This window comes from Homo sapiens, chromosome 21 (genome assembly GCF_000001405.40).
Source record: "Homo sapiens chromosome 21, GRCh38.p14 Primary Assembly".
Lineage (NCBI taxonomy): Eukaryota > Metazoa > Chordata > Mammalia > Primates > Hominidae > Homo > Homo sapiens.
The window spans coordinates 39,622,981-39,641,595 of NC_000021.9; the positions used below are offsets into that span (position 1 = coordinate 39,622,981).

Below are 18,615 nucleotides of genomic sequence, written 5' to 3' on the forward strand. Positions count from 1 at the left end.
CAGCACAATTTAACTAACAACCTTGTTCCCTTATTTTGTAACTATTCCTTAGTTTGAACTTGTAAATTTTCTTTTCTTTTCTTTTCTTTTCCTCCCTCCCTCCCTCCATCCTTCCTTCCCTCCCTCCTTCCTTCGTTCCTTCTTTCCTTCCTTCCTCCCTCCCTTCCTCCCTTTCTCTTTCTTTCTCTCTCTCTCTCTTTTCCATCCATCCCTCCCTCCTTCCTCCCTCCCTCCCTCCCTCCCTCCCTCCCTCCCTCCCTCCCTTCCTTCCTTCCTTCCTTCCTTCCTTCCTTCCTTCCTTCCTTCCTTCCTCTGTTTCTCTTTTCTTGGGTAATTTCCTATATTTTTGGATGTTTTAAACATGAAAATGTAGTTATTTTTATGGGCATAAATTAGTTAAATTTAATGATATATTTGATCAATTTCTGTGCTCATTTTTGTGTCCTGTATCCCTTGACATACACATGAGTTTATGCAACTTCTTGCTGAACTACATTCATTAATAATTAATATTATTGAGGCTACATGGGTGATAAGCTTTCTTACTATTTCTGTGTTTGAAAATATTTTAATTATGGCTTTGCTTTTGTGTATTAGTTTAACTGGGTATAAAATTTTAGATGGGCAGTTACTTCTTTCCAGCATTTTGGTATCTTCTATATGTATTATTGGTCATGGGAAATGGCTATCAGCTTAATTGTGACTGTTTTGTTGATAATTTGCCTTTCTCCACATTAGCTTTTAGGACTTTCTCATTTTCGACGTTCTGTGGACTCACTATGATGTGGAAGATAGGTTTATCTTTATCATGGTGAGTACCTAGAGTCCAGTTTTGATTTGAGATCTCATATTTTCAATTCTGGAAAATTCTCAGCTGATATGTCTTCACATATTTTTTCCTCTGCTTTTCCTCCATTCCTTTCTTCAGGAACCCTTATCAGAGTAAGCCAACCCTCTTCATGTATCTGCTACATCTCCTTTGTCTGTCCAATAAGTCCTGATTGTTACTGGAGACAGTTATCTCTGGGGAAGGAGAATGATTCTCCTTTCAGTCACAACCTTCCTTCTCTCTGTGAAAAGTGGAATGGCAAGTCTGAAGGTTTCTTTCTCATTTATCTCCAGAGGATCATTTCTCTTAAGTCTCCTCTTCACCACCTCTGTTTACCTTTCTCCAATCTGGGAAGGGAAACTATTAATGAAACTTTGATGAATTTCAGTTCCTCACCCCTTTTCTGCATTCGCTCCCCCCATAAAACATACATGTAAAATTCTGGTGTTTTTGGTGTTTTTCCCTGGCCACCACTTTCAAGGAGTATTCCAAAAGTTGTGTCCCTTTGTTTGGGTGCTGCTTGTATATTTTTGGCCAATTTGAACTTACTTTTTTCATTTCAGTGTGGGCAAAGTAGAGAAACAAATGCCCCCAGGCCCTACTACACATTTGAGCAATAATAGTTGTGAATATTATTCAACTCATCAGCAGTTGCTCAGAGTGGGTGTTCAATGGCTTGGTTTTGTAGGGAGTCTGGCATAATTCCCAGGTGTCTGGAAGCTTTGAAGAGAAACAGGTGCCTATTATAATTGGATATAAATGAAGGAATTGAGGAAATTGAATGAGGCAAATGGTGGAGTGCTGGTTTTACTGAGGTGGAGGTGCTGATGGAAGGATGGTGGTGGACATTCCATAGACAATGCTGCACAGCGAACTCTCAAAGGTTTTCTGGAGAATCCATAAATAACTGAATTTGGATTTTTCAGAATTTGGCTTCTTCAAGGATAAAAATGTGCAAATTACCTCTTTGCTAGTTGTTAGCTAATCAGTTTACCTAAAAAAAAAAAGTGCAAAAATAAAATCACCTCGTCCAAGGCGATAGTTTTTTTTTTTTCTTTCCATCCTCACTCTCTTGAAAATCCTGTTTGTGCTTCTACTCTGAGACTCAGTTTACCATCTGACTCCCTCCGAGGGAGAAGATCATTTGCAGGAAGGATAACCAAACTACATGGAAAATGAGGATTTTCCTCTGGGTTCTTCTTTGACGGCTGGCTCTCAACTCCACATTGTAGACTATGGTGTAACACTTATGTCCAATATTACACACACACTTTTTCAGTTTCCTGTTTTGGTGACTTTTCATACATGCCACTTACACATGTCTAAAGGAAGCTCTTTCACTGATGTCTGTAGCCACCTATGGCACAAAAAGCCAGGGGGTTTGTCGCATGTTATTCCATCAGGTAGAGGGAGGAGTTTTTCCAGGCTAATGAAACATGATGATGCTAAATGGTTAGTGAAGAGTGATGGAGTTAGAAAGCAGTTTTCGTGTGTGATCAGTCGTTCTGAGCCTGATGGCTCTACCACGCCTGCTAACCACCTCGGTTGACCCGGCTGCAACCCCACTCGGTCCATCTTTTATTTATCTGATTTCCTCATTAGTCCATGGGGTGTGTTCCTCGCAAGCTTGAATTCTTTTCGCCTCACCTAGCTGCACTAGGGGTTGCTCACTTTGTTTTTCCTTTCCCCGCTCCCAACTATGTGCAGGCATTTGCAGCAATTTATTAGTTTCAAATAAATTTGGGTAATCTTGCCTGTGAGTCTCCTTTTTGAGATTCATTATGCATATTAATTTTGGAAGATTTCCAAAAAGTCCTCAATAAAGAAACCTGTTTTCATTTGGTTTAACCCAGTGGTTTCCCAGTTTGCAATTCTACCTTCCTCTCACCCCCGCAGGGGCGCACACAGGGACTCCTGATGTCTGAAGGGGCATGGTTAGGGAAACTCTGCCTCCACCTACAGAGAGAACTCCACGTTCCCTCTAGCCCTAGTCTTGGCTTCCCTTCAAGCCCTTGATTTTTTTCTTTCTTTTATTCATAGTTTTTTTGGGGGGGTATAATCAATATTATGCATGTTATCTGTAAAGTTTACAATTCAGTGAACCCCTAACTCTTTTAAAATTGTGGTAAAATAGACATAATGTAAATGTACCATTTTAACGACAGTTTTGTGGCATTTTGTCCATACACGGTATTGTGTGACCTTCACTACTGTCTAGCCCCAGGACATTTTCATTACCCCAGAGGAAATCTTGTACCCATTATCAGTCATTTCTCCTCCCTACCCCCAGCCCCTGGGAACCCCCATTCTATTTCCTGTTTCTATGGATTTTGCTACTCTAGGTAGCCCATGTAAGTGAAACCATACAGTATTTGTCCTGTTGTGTCTGGTTTATTTTATGTAGCATGTCTTCAAGGTTCATCCATGTTGGAGCATGTGACAGAATTTCCTTGCTTTTTAGGGCAGAATAGTATTTCACTGTGTGTATATATATAGCATTTTGTTTGTCTATTCATCTACCAGTGAACGCTCGGGTTGTTTTCACCTTTTGGCTATTGTGAATAATGCCACTATGAATATGGTTGTACAAATATTTGTTTGAGTCTTTGCTTTCATTTCTTTTGGGCATATGCATGGGAGTGGAATTGCTGGATTATATAGTAATTCTGTTTTAAGTTTTTTGAGGAGCTGTGATATCATTTTCCACACTGGCTGCACCATTTTATATTCCCACCAGCAGAGCACAGGGGTTCCAGATTTTCCAGATTTCCTTGCCAACATTCGTTATTTTCTGTTTTTTTTTCTTTTTTTCATTAATTGCTATCCTGGTAGGTGCGAAGTGCTGTCTCATTGTGACTGAGATTTGCATTTGCCAGTGGTTGGTGATGTTGAGCATCTTTTCATGAGCTTATTGGCCATCTGTATATCTTCTTTGGAGAATGTCTATTCAAGTCCTTTGCCCCTTTTTAAACTGGCGTTTTTGTTTTTTGTTGTTGACAGACTCCTAATTCTTAACAGATATGATGCTCTCACTGTGATGAACTTGACTTCTGGGAAGATACTGGCTGCATTCATTTCTCTTCTACTTTCCTAGGCCAATCATTATTCTCCAGCAGTCATCATTTCTTACGTTCCTCGCTTGTCCTGTTCTCAGGCTGGACCTAAGAGCTCATTCCCTCCCATCTCTTCCCACATTCCATATCATGGACTTTCTTCTTTTCAGCTGTTGGTACTGTGGAGGGGGGGATTTTATTGAAGCCAACTGCCATGATCACCTTCCTTTTCCTTCCTAAAGGATTGTCATCTGCTTTCTGATTTTAGCCACAGTAGCTTGGCTGAGGTTGCATTTTGGAAGTTCGAGGCTTCTGGCTCCCAGATTTCCTGTAGAACTGACACTGGTGACTATCCTTTGTTCTTGAGGCTCCTTTGATCTCTGGGACACTTTCCTGTGATGCCATGAAGGGGAACGAGCAGGAAGTTTAGGGTGCAGACTTTGGGGTGCATCACCTGGCTTCAGATGCTATCTTTGCCCATGAACTCACTCTTGGTAAAGTCACCCTGTGGGGTTTCTCCTTAGTGAAAGAGCACATTAACACCTACCTTGCAGCTGGTGGTGAGGATTCATTGGGAAATCACATGAAAAGTACTTAGAACAGTTGCTGGCAGAGAGGAAGTGTTAACAAGGTGCCACTGTTGGGGCATTAAGCTGGTTTTGCTCATGTATTCAGTCGATCCCCTTTCACCTCCATTTCCCCCCAACCTTTTTTTTTTCTAAATTCTGTTCTTTGCTATTCATTTTTCTGCTCCTGGACATTTTCCCATTCTTTCCATTTCAATATTCCTCTTTACACAGGAGATTCCAATCAAGTCCTCTCTCTACCTTTTATTTATTCATTTATTACTTATGTATGTTTGTTTATTTAAGATGTAAGAAAGCATAAGGTGGAGAGGTGCTAGGATGTCTAAATGCTAGAAGATGATACATCTTCCTAGCTACTTGACAGGTAGTCTTTTGGACTTTAAACACACTTTAAAATAAGTGACGTACAAGCACCACTTTAAAATACTAAACATTTTCATTTTAAACCAGCATTACTGGTATTATAACTATATGTACTTCTGCACATCAGTGTAACTGTACACAGATTTAAGAGGAAATGATAGGCATTTATACTAGTCACAAAACAATAAAACCAGGGATGAACACTAAGTTTAATAAAGATCATTTATAATTCTAACCACTTAGAAATAAGAAAATTAACTATGAGGTCAAGGGAGAAATTACGTGTGCAATAACAGATTATTTATAAAACAAAACCAATGAGAACACTAGACATGATAGACAAAGACTTTAAAATCGTTATTATAAATACGGTAAGTAAATTAGGGGAAATGATGAACCAAATGGGTGAAAATATGGAGAAATCAACATAAAAATGTAATCTCTTTTTAAAGTTTATCTAAACTTACGGGGTACACCTGCAATTTGGTTACATGCGTAGATTGTGTAGTGGTCTAGTCAGGGCCCTTAGGGTGGGTATCCATCACCCGAGTAACGTGTATTGTACCCGTTAAGTAATTTCTCATCCATCCCCTCACCCTTCCGAGTCTTTGTTATCTCTCATTCCACTCTCTACATCCGTGTGCACACGTTTTAGCACCCACTTAGGGATACTGTCTCAACATTTTAGTGGGAGGCTTCTTGTAGCACAAAACGGTGCCTAAGGACATATTTCCTGGAGGACGTTTCGACCTTTGTCACATGACTCCATATCAGCTGCCACTGGCTCATACACAACCATGTCAGTGCTGTGTCAGAGATGGAAGAATTTGACCTTTCACCAGTTTCTGTGAAATACATTGCTTTGAAGATGAAATCACAAATGTCGTCCTGTACAGGGGACCTAATGGGACCATGTCGAGTGATTATATCTTGAGCAGATGTAAGTCTTTAGAATGGTCTAGATTATGACCTGAGTGCTTACTGGTCTCTGGATTCTATGAAGTACTTGTTTGATTTTCACAAGATCTTTAAGAAGTAGTTAGTGCTATTCTCTCATTTTACTTTTCCATTCTTATTTTTAGAGAAAATCAAGTCTTAAGAGGTTAACTGTGCCCAGAGTCTTGTAACTAAAAAGTGGTTGACTTGAGATTCCACCCAGTTCCCTTGGATTCCACATGCAGAACTCTTAACATCCTCTTAACATCCTTTTTTTTTTTGAGATGGAGTCTCGCTCTGTCGCCCAGGTTGGAGTGCAGTGGTGCCTGATCTTGGCTTACTGCAACCTCTGCCTCCTGGGTTCAAGCAATTCTCCCTGCCTCAGCCTCCTGAGTAGCTGGGTCTACAGGCCCACGCCACTGCACCCGGCTAATTTCCATATTTTTAGTAGAGACGAGGTTTCACCATGTTGGCCAGGCTGGTCTCGAACTCCTGATCTTAAGTGATCTGCCCGCCTCAGCCCTCCAAAGTGCTGGGATTATAGGCGTGAGCCACCATGCCGAGCCTTAACATCTTGATTGTATTCTATACGTGCCATTTCACATGGTCTATTTCTCATTTTTCTTGTTCTTTTTTCTTTTCTATGTTGATTAGATACACTGGAGCTTAATCCATTTTAGAGTGTGAGTGCATAGTGCATATTTATCAGTAATATTGTTTTAATATTTGAATTAATTCAATCCTGCTTTTAATTTTATTATTCCTGCTATTTTCTATAAAACTTTTTATAACTTTCTGTAACTTTTTAGAATTTGTTTTCTAAATTCTTTGAGAGCTTAGTCTTTTTCTTTCTTTCATAATGAACATGCTTAAGGCTAAAGCTGCCTCTGAAAGCAACTTTGAATGTGTTAAAGGAATCATATCTAGTGTTCTTATTAGTTTTGTTTTATAAATAATCTGTTATTGCAGATGTAATTTTTCCTTTGACCTCATAGTTAATTTTCTTTAAGTGGTTGGAATTTTAAAATGAACTTTATCAAACTTACTGTTAATTCCTGGTTTTATTGTTTCGTGACTAGTATAAGTAGGCTATCATTTTTCTCTTAAATCTGTGTACAGTTACACTGATGTGCAGAAGCACATATAGTTATAATACCAGTAATGCTGGTTTAAAATGAAAATGTTTAGTATTTAAAAGTGGTGCTTATAAGTCACTTATTTTAGCATAAGTTTGAATTTTTTCCAACTGATTTTGAAAATTTAAATAGAATATATATTCTCAATAAAATTTTTAGAGTAAATGACTAGTTTTGGTTTTTGTGGGAAAACGGTCCTAGCGTATTCTCTAACAACCAACACTCAAAGCCAGATACCTGTGAAAAAACTGACATGTTTTAAATGGAACAGGAGACCTCTCCAACAAACCCATCAATGTTTAACAATCTTAATGAGCTTTAAAAAAGTGTCATATTTTAGCTGTGAATCACTTCACGTTAAAATCTGTGGTTTTCCTGCCAAAGTTATCTTTAGTAAACGCGATGTATTGGCAGCTAGATTTGGAGTGAAGTGAATGTGAGTGAAGCTGGAAGCAGATTCTGCAAGAAACCCAAATGTTGGAGGGGGGTTTTCCAAGCGTCAGAGTCTTAGGTCTCTCAATACCCCCTTTGACACTCGTGGCCACACTCTTCCGCCATGCCCATTACAGTGACTCACTCGGAACTGCTTGGGAATCAGTGACTTGGGTGAGTGCAATATCTCTTTCACATATTGCCGGCTTCCTCCATCAACCCATAGCATCTGTGCTGGGTTTATGCTTTCAAGTGAGAAATGGTGAAATACACAAGGGGATGGCTTGCACTTGACTCTGGGATGGTGTTTGCATGTCAGCGTTTTCTTTCACATTAAATTGAGTGGAGCTAAACTCATTTGGTTTCAGTGAAGGTAGTTTCCATGCATTCACTGAAAAGCTGGGATTGCTGAGAGTGGTGACCAGAAGAGAGAAGGCCATGGGGAGGTAAGGTGAGGCAGGAATACTAGAGGGTGGGGCAGGGCTCAGCTCAGTGGCGATGTTTCCCCAGCAGCCTTCAGGCCTTTCATCCCATCATTTCTCTCCTCTGATAAGTGTCTCTGCTTTAAGAGTGTTTGCCAGACAGAAATAAAAATCGATTGGGGGAAAAATTATATGGAAAAAAAATTTTCCTTTCAAAATATTCCTGGAGAGGAGAGGAAGCACGCATGGATAGAATGAATGAAATGTTCTTGGGGCACAGTGCCATCTAATGTTGCTATTATTGCATTTGCTGCTTAGCAAAGTACATAGAAGGCACATTGCAAATATTCAGGTATTAGCTGTGTTAAGTAATTGTTTTCATGTAGTAAATGTATTAGTTTGCTTGGGCTGGCATAGCAAAGTAGCACAAACTGAAAGCCTTAAATAACAAAAACTTATGATCTCACAGTTCTGGAGGCTGAAGTCTGAAATGAAGGTCTCAGCAGGGTGGGTTCTTCTGAGGGCGCTGAAGGAGAATCTGTTAGGTGCATCTCTCCAGGTTTCTGCTGGTTAATGGCAATATTTGATGTTCTGTGGCCTGTGGAGCATCTCCCTCATCTCCGCCTTCATCGTTACTTGGTGTTCTCTGTGTGTGCCTGTCTGTGTCCAAATTTCCCCTAATTATAAGGACAGCAGGGATATTGTATTAGGGGCCCAGCCTACTTCAGTATGACCTCTTCTTACTGAATTGTATCTGCAAAGATCCTATTTCCAAATAAGGTCACATTCTGAGGTAATTGGGGTTAGGACTTCAGCACATGAATTTTAGGGGAACATAAATCAACCCATAACAGTAAAGATCTATTAACTCACTTTAGGAAGCTGATATTTATTTAGGAAGTAAATGTTTATTGAGCATCTATGATGTGACATGCATGAGGTATTGAGATTTAAACAGATACGCTTAAATATTTTCCTGTATCCAAGTCACTTTCAGTAAAGAAGTAGAGAGACATAAATTAATAACTAGAATACGGCAGAGCTATATGAAGGTATGCACGAGGAATAGTGCTGGTACCAAGAAAGGGGATGCTGGTGAAGCCTACTTTTTAGGGGAGATGTCAGGGAAATGTCACTGAGGGGGCTACATTTGGGCTGCATATGAAAGCATTAAGAGGAGCTCCAGGGCAGTCTGGACAGAAAGCACAGCGTGGAGGTCTGACACGAAAGGGTGTGTTCGCAGGACTTTAAGCCATCTCATATGGGAGTGTAGTGTCCACTGGGAGGTGATGGATTGCCACTGTGAAGTTTCAAGTGTCGGAGCGGAACTATTGGACTTGTGGTTTTGAGAAGTTCTGCCTGACAGCCTGGTGGCTGGCATGGAGCTGGGCTGTCAGGTAGCTCTTATTTTCCATGTCCATTCTGTTCTATTCTACTAGTAACTGTCTGTCTTTTCCAGCATTTCCCAAGTCTTCCCTTACCCTTTATGGTGATTCTGCAGAAGGAACAAGCTGGTAAAAGCACTTTTGGGAGACTGGGGAAAGGAATACAAATATTCCTGTGTTAACTATTTTCTGGCCCCAAGTAGGCTATTGGTGACCTTTGGTATGTTCAGATAAGCAGTGGGAATGGAGGCCGGAGTACAGTGGGTTGAGGTTAATTACGTGATGGATGAAGTGGTGCGAGTGGTGAGTACAGGCTGTCTGTTGCAGAAGCTTGATTTGGAAGGGAAAGAAAATAAGAGGCTGACAAGGAGACGCCACGTAATTGAGGTAGGGTCTGTTGAATGTTTTTTGGGGATGAAATTTTATTTTGTGTTAACAAAGTAGAAATTTACAAAGGAAATGGCCCCCATTTTAACAGAAAAATCAATACCATTTGCATCCCTCATTATTAATATGCATTGGAACTTCATCCATTGGACCTGGTGAAGAAGGCAGTCACCGTCTCACCAGGCTGGAAGCCTGGATGTTGGAATGTGGACATTTCCTACTAGAGTGGCTTGAAAATCCCCTAGGATCATTCTGGTGGTAGGGATGGGGGTATAAATGTGGGTGCTCCTTGAGAGGAAGGAATGAGCCAAGAGGGATGGAGCCCGGGGATGCAGGGAGAAAGTGGCCTTTGTTTTATGGTTATGCACTCTATCCAGTTTATATGTTTCAGATGATTTATTCAACAAACCTTTGTGTATCTCTTCCTACTTCTTTCCCACTGAGCTAGGTAGGTCCTGGGGTTCCTGTGAGTCCTGGGGCTGTAGTCAGGCAGTTGCAATATCTCATCATTCTCATGCTAATTTTTTCCTGACCTGAAGATTTCCATTGGAAAATGATGATTGCACTCTTCTAATAGAAGGCTAAGTGATTTAGATCTGGGGGCAGGGAAATGGTGGCTGTGGTTCTTCTAGAGGGGGAAGAGGATGTAGACAGGTAGTTTCATCCAATGCATGAGGGCCACAAAGGTTTCTGTGGACCCCTGGTCTTATACTGCAATCCCTTGGTAACAAGGAAATCATAAAACTAGGGGTGACTCATCACCACTGTGATGAGGTGTTTCTGAGTTCAAAGGGAAGAGTCAGTTTAACTCAGTGAAATGGTTATTTTTTGTAATGACATTCATTTCCTTGGTTCTTTGCTTATATGACACCTGGATGTACAAGATGGTTAACAGAATAGTGCTATGGAGGCACTTTGACAAGTCCTGAACCACCATCTGGGTGAGAATATTTGTAACCGGCACAATACTTATACATGAATGGCCACTGTGAAATGGGTTTCTAAGGGGCGATATTATAATTTGCTTTCTTAAGAGCACTGACTACAAAGACATCTCCTAAACTCTTTCTTTGTAAACTTACCAGAAACCCTTGTATCCCCATGGATGAATCCAGAGCTTTTCAGTGGCTCAGGTTTCTCCTTCTAACAGTGCTTGAAATTCCTTCCACAGAGAATGAAGCTTTTAATTCTAGAACCAATGTTCAGATTGTGCAAAGGCATGGATTTAAGGTGACAGCTATTAACATTGGCAAAGTTCTTTCTATTGTGAAAATTGCTTTCATATATATTTGGTTTATTTTGCCCTCCGGACAGTCCTGGGCTTCATTATTGAGTAACTTATTTTCTGTTTGAAGAAACGGAGGCTTAGTGGTTTAAGAAAGCTGATTAAAGTCAAATGGCAAGGATGGGGTAAATGATGGAGCTCTAAGCATTGGGTGTTGGCGTCTGTAATATTTGTGCATGACTGACTACACAGCTCTCCTTCTGAGTCAGTGGCTTTTAAGCTCTTTGGAACCACAGTAAATTCCTTTTACCTCATGACTCAGTACACACATATGACCCACCAAACAGTACTTGCCTTGACCATTCCCCATGCCTTCTAATATTTTATTCTACCCAATTCTGTTTTCTTTTCAACGTCGGGTCTTATTAAATTGACTTGGTGATGCACTAATGGGTCATGATGCAGAATTTGAAAAAATTACACTCAGTTCCTTCCCCAAGAAGTAGAGGAAGGTCAGAAATGGAGGATGGTGGGGAAGGAATGGGGTGTGTGTTTTTCCAGAATAGGGTGGGAGGGAAATGGCCTCTCACAGCCCACTTGTCAGAACTGCTCCCATGTCCCGATCCGACTTCAGAGGTGGGAAAACGTTGGGAGCTGGTGAGGTGGGTGGGGAAAATCACTGTCTGCCACACCTCTCGTTTCTGGCATTCAGTCCACTTTTGTGGCCATCGTTTGTTGTGCTGGTTGGCTCACTCTGCCCAATTCTTCCTTCTGGTTGCCAGTTCTCTTCATATGTCTACTCTTTTACTGCGGGTCGCTCACATCTATAAATGACGGTCTAGGTTGTACAGTCTCGGAGGTTCAAGTGGAGTCTTTTGGCAGCTGTGCAGGCCAGCATTTGCATCCCTGCAGGGGCTGCAGGGGGCCTTAACCCTCCCCGATCAGTGCCTGGTTCTCTGATCCTGGCCAAGCATATTGGTTCTCAAAGTGTTGCCTGGAGTCTGGATGTGGGAATCTGCTTCAGGCCAGGCCAGGTGATCTTGAACCCGAGGAACAGAAGTCATCACGTTTGCTCTATGTCTATCAGGAAAACAGCTCAAAGCACATTCCCTATTCATGTCGGGGCAGTAGAATCTTCCCATTTTCCCAGAGACAACGCGTAATGGCAGGCCAGAGGAAGCTCTGTGATCACCCTAGAGAGGAAAACAGCAGGCGTAAGAAAGCATTTGTCATCTCAAGGCAGAAATCACCCACTTTTTACAAGAATGTCCCACTGTGAAATCAGAATGTTCTACCATGCCATCTGCAACAAAACTGAGGGCCCCCGCAAAGCCCACCATCCAAAAGACATGGTAGCATAAGATAAATGGCAATGATTGCAATTAACAATGGCAGTCTCTCAAGAGTGGGCATGCCTGCGGGACCCGTGTTGATATTTGGATTTGGATTTTTGCTTGTTTGTAGATTTTGGGGTCATCTTTTGTTAGTGTTGGGAGGTAGCTGTGTGTGGTGAAATCCGTGGATTTTTCCCACAGCTAGAGGAAATAGGAGGTTGAGGGCAAGATGTGCCATGGAGAGTGAAGGTGTGTGAGTCAAGGGATGATCCTATGGTGGGATGCCTGCTTCTGAGAGTCTCTTCTGCCATATTAACAAATCACGGATGCGTTTGAGTTTCCTGTCTGGACACCCATGGTTTGTTATTGTGTCTGTACTACTTTCTGAATAGGGATTATCTTCCATGCTCTTTTTTTTGTTTTTTTGACATGGAGTTTTGCTCTTGTTGCCCAGGCTGGAGTGCAATGGTGCGATCTCAGCTCACTGCAACCTCTGCCTCCTGGGTTCAAGCAATTCTTCTGCCTCAGCCTCCCAAGTAGCTGGGATTACAGGCCTGTGCCACCACACCCAGCTAATTTTGTATTTTTTTAGTAAAGACAGGGTTTTGCCATGTTGGTCAGGCTGGTCTCGAACTCCTGACCTCAAGTGATCCACCCACCTCGGCCTCCCAAACTGTTGGGATTACAGGTGTGAGCCACCGCACCTGGCCTCTTCCGTGCTGTTAATCCTCACATTCCTATCTCCTGGGACCAACTGGCTAAATGCTGGGATCTGTGTTTATTCACCTCCAATTGTCAGTTCTGTGCATGTGCTCTTAGTTTCCTTTTCCCTCTTCTCTGCATAGCTTTTTTATTCCCTTTGATACTCCAAGATTAGAATCTTTGCTAGGGCCAGGACTATATCTTTTGCATTCTCTTGTCCCAGCAACTAAGATAGGACATTTTATGTTGTGGAACTGACAAGTTTCTGAAATTTCCATCCGTGGACATGATCCACCATAAACCACAGAAGTTAAGTACTGGAATGTTTACTATCGGGCAATTTGCTCATTATCTCTAAGCCTCAGTTTCTCATCTTTAGAGCAGGGATGGTAGTATCACATGGAATCATTGTGAAGTTAATTGAGAAAATGCATGTAAAGAATTTAATGCAGTGCTTGACACATAGAGACATCACTCCATTATTGATATACTAACTTCCTCAAGAAATTAACAGAATGAACCAGGATCACAACAGTGAGACCATGCTGTGGCCTGGAGAGAAGGTGTGGAACTGCAGCTGTGCTGGGAGGGGCTGTGAGGAAGGAGCTGAGCAGAGAAATGTGACTTTAGCCAGGAGAAGCCAGGGAGGGATCCTGGGAAGAGAAACCCCGACGCCTTTCCTTGTTGTTGCTTCCCAGTGACCAAATCCAACCCCCCTGTTGTTGCTTCCCAATGACCAAATCCGGAGGACACTGGCCAACAAGGCAGCCCCAGATGATGGCATTCACAGGAGACAGGCTCCTGTGGCTTAGATAAGGACTGGCACATCTTCTTGAGGGGCTGTGCACACACCTTATTGTTGCCCACGAATTCCCTGTTTTCCACGAGTCCTTGGCCTGACCAGTGCTTCCTTCTGTACAGGATTGCAGGATCCTGGGACTGGAAAGGATCCTGTGATCACTCTCCTCACCCAGTCTCTTCATACGGAGGGAAGATCAAGGTTGTCTCCTGTGTGGCTTTGGTGGCGGTCAAATGGGGTTCTTTTTATTGGTGTTGCCAGAGTCTGCTGGGGAGCAGAGCACACAGAGCATGCTCAGAACGTGGTGGTGGAAGGGATCCGCTGTTTCTCATGACTTTTAGCCTTTACAGCGGCACCATGTTTTTACACTGAGCCATGTGTTGTCTTTCTCATTCATGGGACTGTTTCTTGCAAGTGTCTTCCTCTTAGTGTCTGTGTTTTTGGAGGGACCCTGCCCTTGAGAACAGGGGACCTGTGCTGTGCTCCTCTTGATCCCCTGGGACATTTACTATTAGGGCCGAGCACACGGGGCCAGCACATACTTTCTGAATTAAATTTCACAAGGATTACCTGGAAAGCTGTGACGTTTTCCGAGTCCTAAAACAGAGGAGCACTGTTGGTTCCTCCCTTTTCCTTTCTAGGGGCATTGTGGCAGATGTCTGTTCCTGCACTTGCAGCTCCATGAGAGGAGAAAAGCCCCCTTCCTCCCAGCAGGGCCATTGCCACTCTGATGGGCATTACAGGGAATCCTAAAGATGGAGGATCTGTGTGCGTTCCCTCTCTGGAGGGTAGAGACCAGGCATTGCATGCCAAAGCCCATCAGGTACGAGGTAACACCCAGTCCAACCCTTGCTGGCATGAAACCACTGTGTAAACTCTTGTCATGTCAGTCAGCTAAGGCTTACGACGTTTTCAACTGAAAAATCTTTGCTGCTTCCCTGTTGTATGCGGAAACAGCTGCCTGGGTGTTTGTCAGTCCTGCTGTGTTCTGTGTGTCCCAGTGTCCTTGATGGCTACCCCGCCCAGGGCTTCTTTCCTGGGAACACCTAGCAGGACTGCTCCCAGCTGTGGTTGCAGAGACAAAAGGAACAAAGGCCATTGATTGATTAACTTGCCACCAGGGAACCCACCTGCCGTGGCTTTTCTTGCAGCAGGATTCAGAGGTGCTAGAGAGACAATGGTTTTTCTAGAGTCAAAAGGGAATACTTGACAAGTCTTCTCTTAAGGTGTCAGTTTTAGAAGCAAGGAGACTTAATTGGTCTTAGGGTACATTGGGCAGTCCATGGTTTGGCTGCAAGGGAGCAAGTGAGCCCTTTGGGGACATTTTGAAAGAGGAAGGATTATTTACTGTTAGGGGCGGGGAGCAGGAAGCTTTCTGTGGCTGGATGTTTTCTGGAGCAAGTCAGGGTCAGGGTGTTGCCTTTTGGGTCCACTTGTCATAATGTCCTTGCCACACCGGGCCATTTCTCACTTTTATGTCTGTTTGATACGGAAGAGGGGAAGAGAAGTGCTGGCAAGGGAAGGGCACGGTCCCTTTAAATGATACTGAAGGGGGAAGGGCGTGGTCCCTGGTTAGGGCTCCATCCCTAGGCCTGTGCCCACGAACCTAGGTGAGGACAGGCATTTTTGTTTTCCTGCCCAAATGTTGCATTTCCCAAGACCACCCTGGCCTGCCACACCCCCATACTGTGCCTGTAAAAACCCCAAGACCCTAGCAGGCAGACACACAGGTGGCGGGACGTCGAGAGGAGCACATCAGCGGAGGAACACATGGGCGGCTGGACGTCAAGAGAAAAGCACAGACAGGCACTGACAGGCACCAGCAGGCTGCAGGCCACCGACTGGCAGAAGGATGCGGAGGCGGGCTAGGGCAGTCGGGGGAGAGCCCAGGCCGTTGAGCAGCCTGACTCCAGGGGAAAACCATCTCCCTCCTGGCTCCCCCATCTGCTGAGAGTTTCTTCCATTCAATAAAACCTTGCACTCATTCTCCAAGCCCACATGTGATCTGATTCTTCAGGTACAGCAAGGCAAGAACCCCGGGATACAGAAAGCCCTCTGTCCTTGAGATAAGGCAGGGGTCTAACTGAGCTAACACAAGCTGCCTACGGATGGCTAAACTAAAAGAACACCCTGGAACACACGCCCACTGGGGCCGCAGCAGTAAACATTCACCCCTAGACACTGCCGTGGGGTCAGAGCCCCACAGCCTGCCCGTCTTTATGCTCCCCTAGAGGTTTGAGCAGCGGGGCATGGAAGAAGCGAGTCACTCCCCCATCACACGCCCTGGGAGGAGGACAAGGGAACTTCTTCTGTTTCATGTTGACACAGAGGTGGAGTGTGTGACTAGGAGAGGGATTGTGTTTGCGAGAAGTGAGCGATAGGTGGATTGCATGCTGACTGAAGCCAGTTTCCCGTGTACAGCTCTTCAATCTTAACAGTAGATGACAAAACTGCTAATGGGACATTGGGCTGGGTGGACCTCTTTCCCACAGCCTCGCTCCCATATTACCACGAAAGGAAGGTCCACGTTAATTTCTGCCATGTAGACGGAAGCCACTTATTAAACTAACAGAACAGGTCATACTCCATGGAGTTTGTAGGTGAGGTGCCACCTCTCTTCTTTTAGGTCACCTGACTTTGCCTAGCATGAAAGATAAGTTGTAACATGTTCCAGAATTGTGATTCTGTTTCCCTTGCAAGCAGCTTCAGGCATCTGGCTCTTTCTTTCTTTCTTTCTTTCTTTCTTTCTTTCTTTCTTTCTTTCTTTCTTTCTTTCTTTCCTTCCTTCCTTCCTTCCTTCCTTCCTTCCTTCCTTCCTTCCTTCTTTCTTTTTCTTTCTTTCTTTCTTTCTTTCTTTCTTTCTTTCTTTCTTTCTTTCTTTCTTTTTTTCTTTCTCTCTCTCTCTCTCTTTCTTTCTTTCTTTTTTTTTGACAGAGACTCCCTCTGTCACCCAGGCTAGAGTGCAGTGGCGCGATCTCTGCTCACTGCAACCTCCACCTCCTGGGTTCAAGCAATTCTCCTGCCTCAGCCTCCTGAGTAGCTGGGATTACAGGCGGGTGCCACCACGCCTGGCTAATTTTTGTATTTTTAGTAGAGATGGGGTTTCACCATATTGGTCAGGCTGGTCTTGAACTCCTGACCTCATGATCCACCTGCCTCGGCCTCCCAAAGCGCTGGGATTACAGGGGTGAACCACTGCGCCCAGCCCAGCACGCATCTGGCATTTTCTAAGTCACTGGCCCCTGCATCCTGTAGCTCTCCTAGCGGCTAATCTGAAACTATGGGATGCAGGGCTTGTTAGAGCCTCCTCTCTTCATGCACGTGAAGAGAATGTCTATAAAGGGCTAAATAACAAGCTGTCAATCAATAACTGTAAAATGTAAATGATGTAACTGTAAAATGTAAATAAATAACTGTAAAATGTACCTGGAGGGCTCATTAGCAAGCCTCTGGCGTGGACAAGGATACCTGAAGCTCCTGTAGTTGCTGCCATGGTAGAGGGTGGGGGTGGGCTTTAAAACGGTGTTATTCCCATTTGATAGATGAGGAAAGCGGAGGTCTGAGAAGGTAAATAACTCGCCTGAGCTCTCACTCTTAGTGACAGGCAGAAACAGCCTTGCAACCAGGCTGCCTGTGTTTGATTCAAACCCACTGTGGAGCACATGCTTTGAACCACCGACCATGACTCTAGGTGGTGGGCGGTGTCTTGTGGTTGATAAGCAGGGTCCCACCAGCCCTGCGCCTCCTGTCTTGGTTGGCTTGTCACCCTAGAGAGTGGCTGCTTAGGAGCCTAGTTGCATCCTTCCCTGCTCCTGAGACCCCTTTCTCCCTCATGCTCCCTGGTTCAGACCCTCTTCCCCAGGTCAACAGTTGCTCTCGCCCCATGGGTGAGAAGTCCAGCTCTTTTCAGGATCTATGTGTCTCAACATAGGAAAACACCTTAAGAGTACCTGTAAGGCAGTCAGTATTTGGGCCTATCCTTAAAAGTTCTCAGACACGTTTCGAAGGAATTAAACAATTATTTGCCCAGCCTGTACTGAACTTCAAAACTATGAGGTCTTGTAAAAATGAATTATTTGATGATAAAGTGGATTCCATCAAGAAAGATGAAATCCATTCTATTTTTTTTTTTTTGAGAATGAAGACAGTTTTAATATTGCCTTTCCAACCTGGATGCTTTTTTTGTTTGTTTTTCAAGACAGAGTCTTGCTCTGGTTGGAGTACAGTGCTATGATCATGGCTCACTGTAGCCTTGACCTCCTGGGATCAAGCGATCCTCCTGCCTCAGCCCCCTGAGTAGCTGGAACAATGGGCACATGCCACCATGCCTGGCTATTTTTTCTATTTTTTGTAGAGATGGAGTCTCACTATGTTGCCCAGGCTGGTGTCGTCTCGAACTCCTGGGCTCAAGCGATCTACCTGCTTCAGGCTCCCAGAGTGCTGGGATTATAGGTGTGAACCACTGCACCCAGCTGCATTCTTATTTCCTTTTCTTGTGGTGTTGAATGGTGAAGACTTCCAGTATAATATAGTGGTGAGAACAGATATTTCAAGGTTGGAAGATGCCAAAAAGTAGTTTGCCATTTGTAAAGAAAGTTCGGGATATTAGCTAGAGTTATGCACTACTACAAACATGATAAATCTCACATTACTAAAAACATGAAGTTAAAATCCATAGCAGTTGTATTTTAGCTTCCGACACTACAGAACTGTGTTTATGCCTGGGATTTCCACAGTTAAACTGGTTTTATGAAAATAAGTGTCAGTGATGTCTCTTTAAAGCATTAAAATAAATAAAAAAATTTTAAAAGCTGAAATGTGATATGAAATTGATGCCCTAAATTCTTACTCTAACTTTGTTTACTAGAATATTAGCATTATGGAATTTAGATGAAAAAAAAGTTCTTAAAATTAAGCTAGTCTTATAGTCCATGTAATGCTTGAATTCCCTTTACCGCGTTTTTTAATATCTTCATGGTAAATAATTAACTATTTTCTGGAATAGCTCATTCCACCTTTAGATTT

At 43.3% G+C, this 18,615-nt stretch overlaps 1 protein-coding gene across 2 annotated transcripts in view, besides 3 other annotated features; it reads left to right on the forward strand.

The window, feature by feature from the left end:
• B3GALT5 (beta-1,3-galactosyltransferase 5) overlaps window positions 1-18,615 on the forward strand; it is a 60,198-nt gene that overhangs the window by 10,041 nt on the left and 31,542 nt on the right. The window lies entirely within an intron of this gene.
• Window positions 10,212-11,411: an enhancer, noted in NCBI's record as "CDK7 strongly-dependent group 2 enhancer chr21:41005119-41006318 (GRCh37/hg19 assembly coordinates)". NCBI's record gives its function as "activates an origin of replication core promoter dependent on BRD2, BRD4, P300/CBP, MED14 and CDK7 cofactors, with strong dependence on CDK7, by STARR-seq in HCT116 cells {active_cell/tissue: HCT116}" and the evidence as "EXISTENCE:reporter gene assay evidence [ECO:0000049][PMID:35650434]".
• Window positions 16,810-17,311: an enhancer, noted in NCBI's record as "H3K27ac hESC enhancer chr21:41011717-41012218 (GRCh37/hg19 assembly coordinates)". NCBI's record gives its function as "activates a minimal SCP1, AML or CMV promoter by ChIP-STARR-seq in naive H9 embryonic stem cells {active_cell/tissue: H9 hESC(naive)}" and the evidence as "EXISTENCE:reporter gene assay evidence [ECO:0000049][PMID:30033119]".
• Window positions 17,312-17,811: an enhancer, noted in NCBI's record as "H3K27ac hESC enhancer chr21:41012219-41012718 (GRCh37/hg19 assembly coordinates)". NCBI's record gives its function as "activates a minimal SCP1, AML or CMV promoter by ChIP-STARR-seq in naive H9 embryonic stem cells {active_cell/tissue: H9 hESC(naive)}" and the evidence as "EXISTENCE:reporter gene assay evidence [ECO:0000049][PMID:30033119]".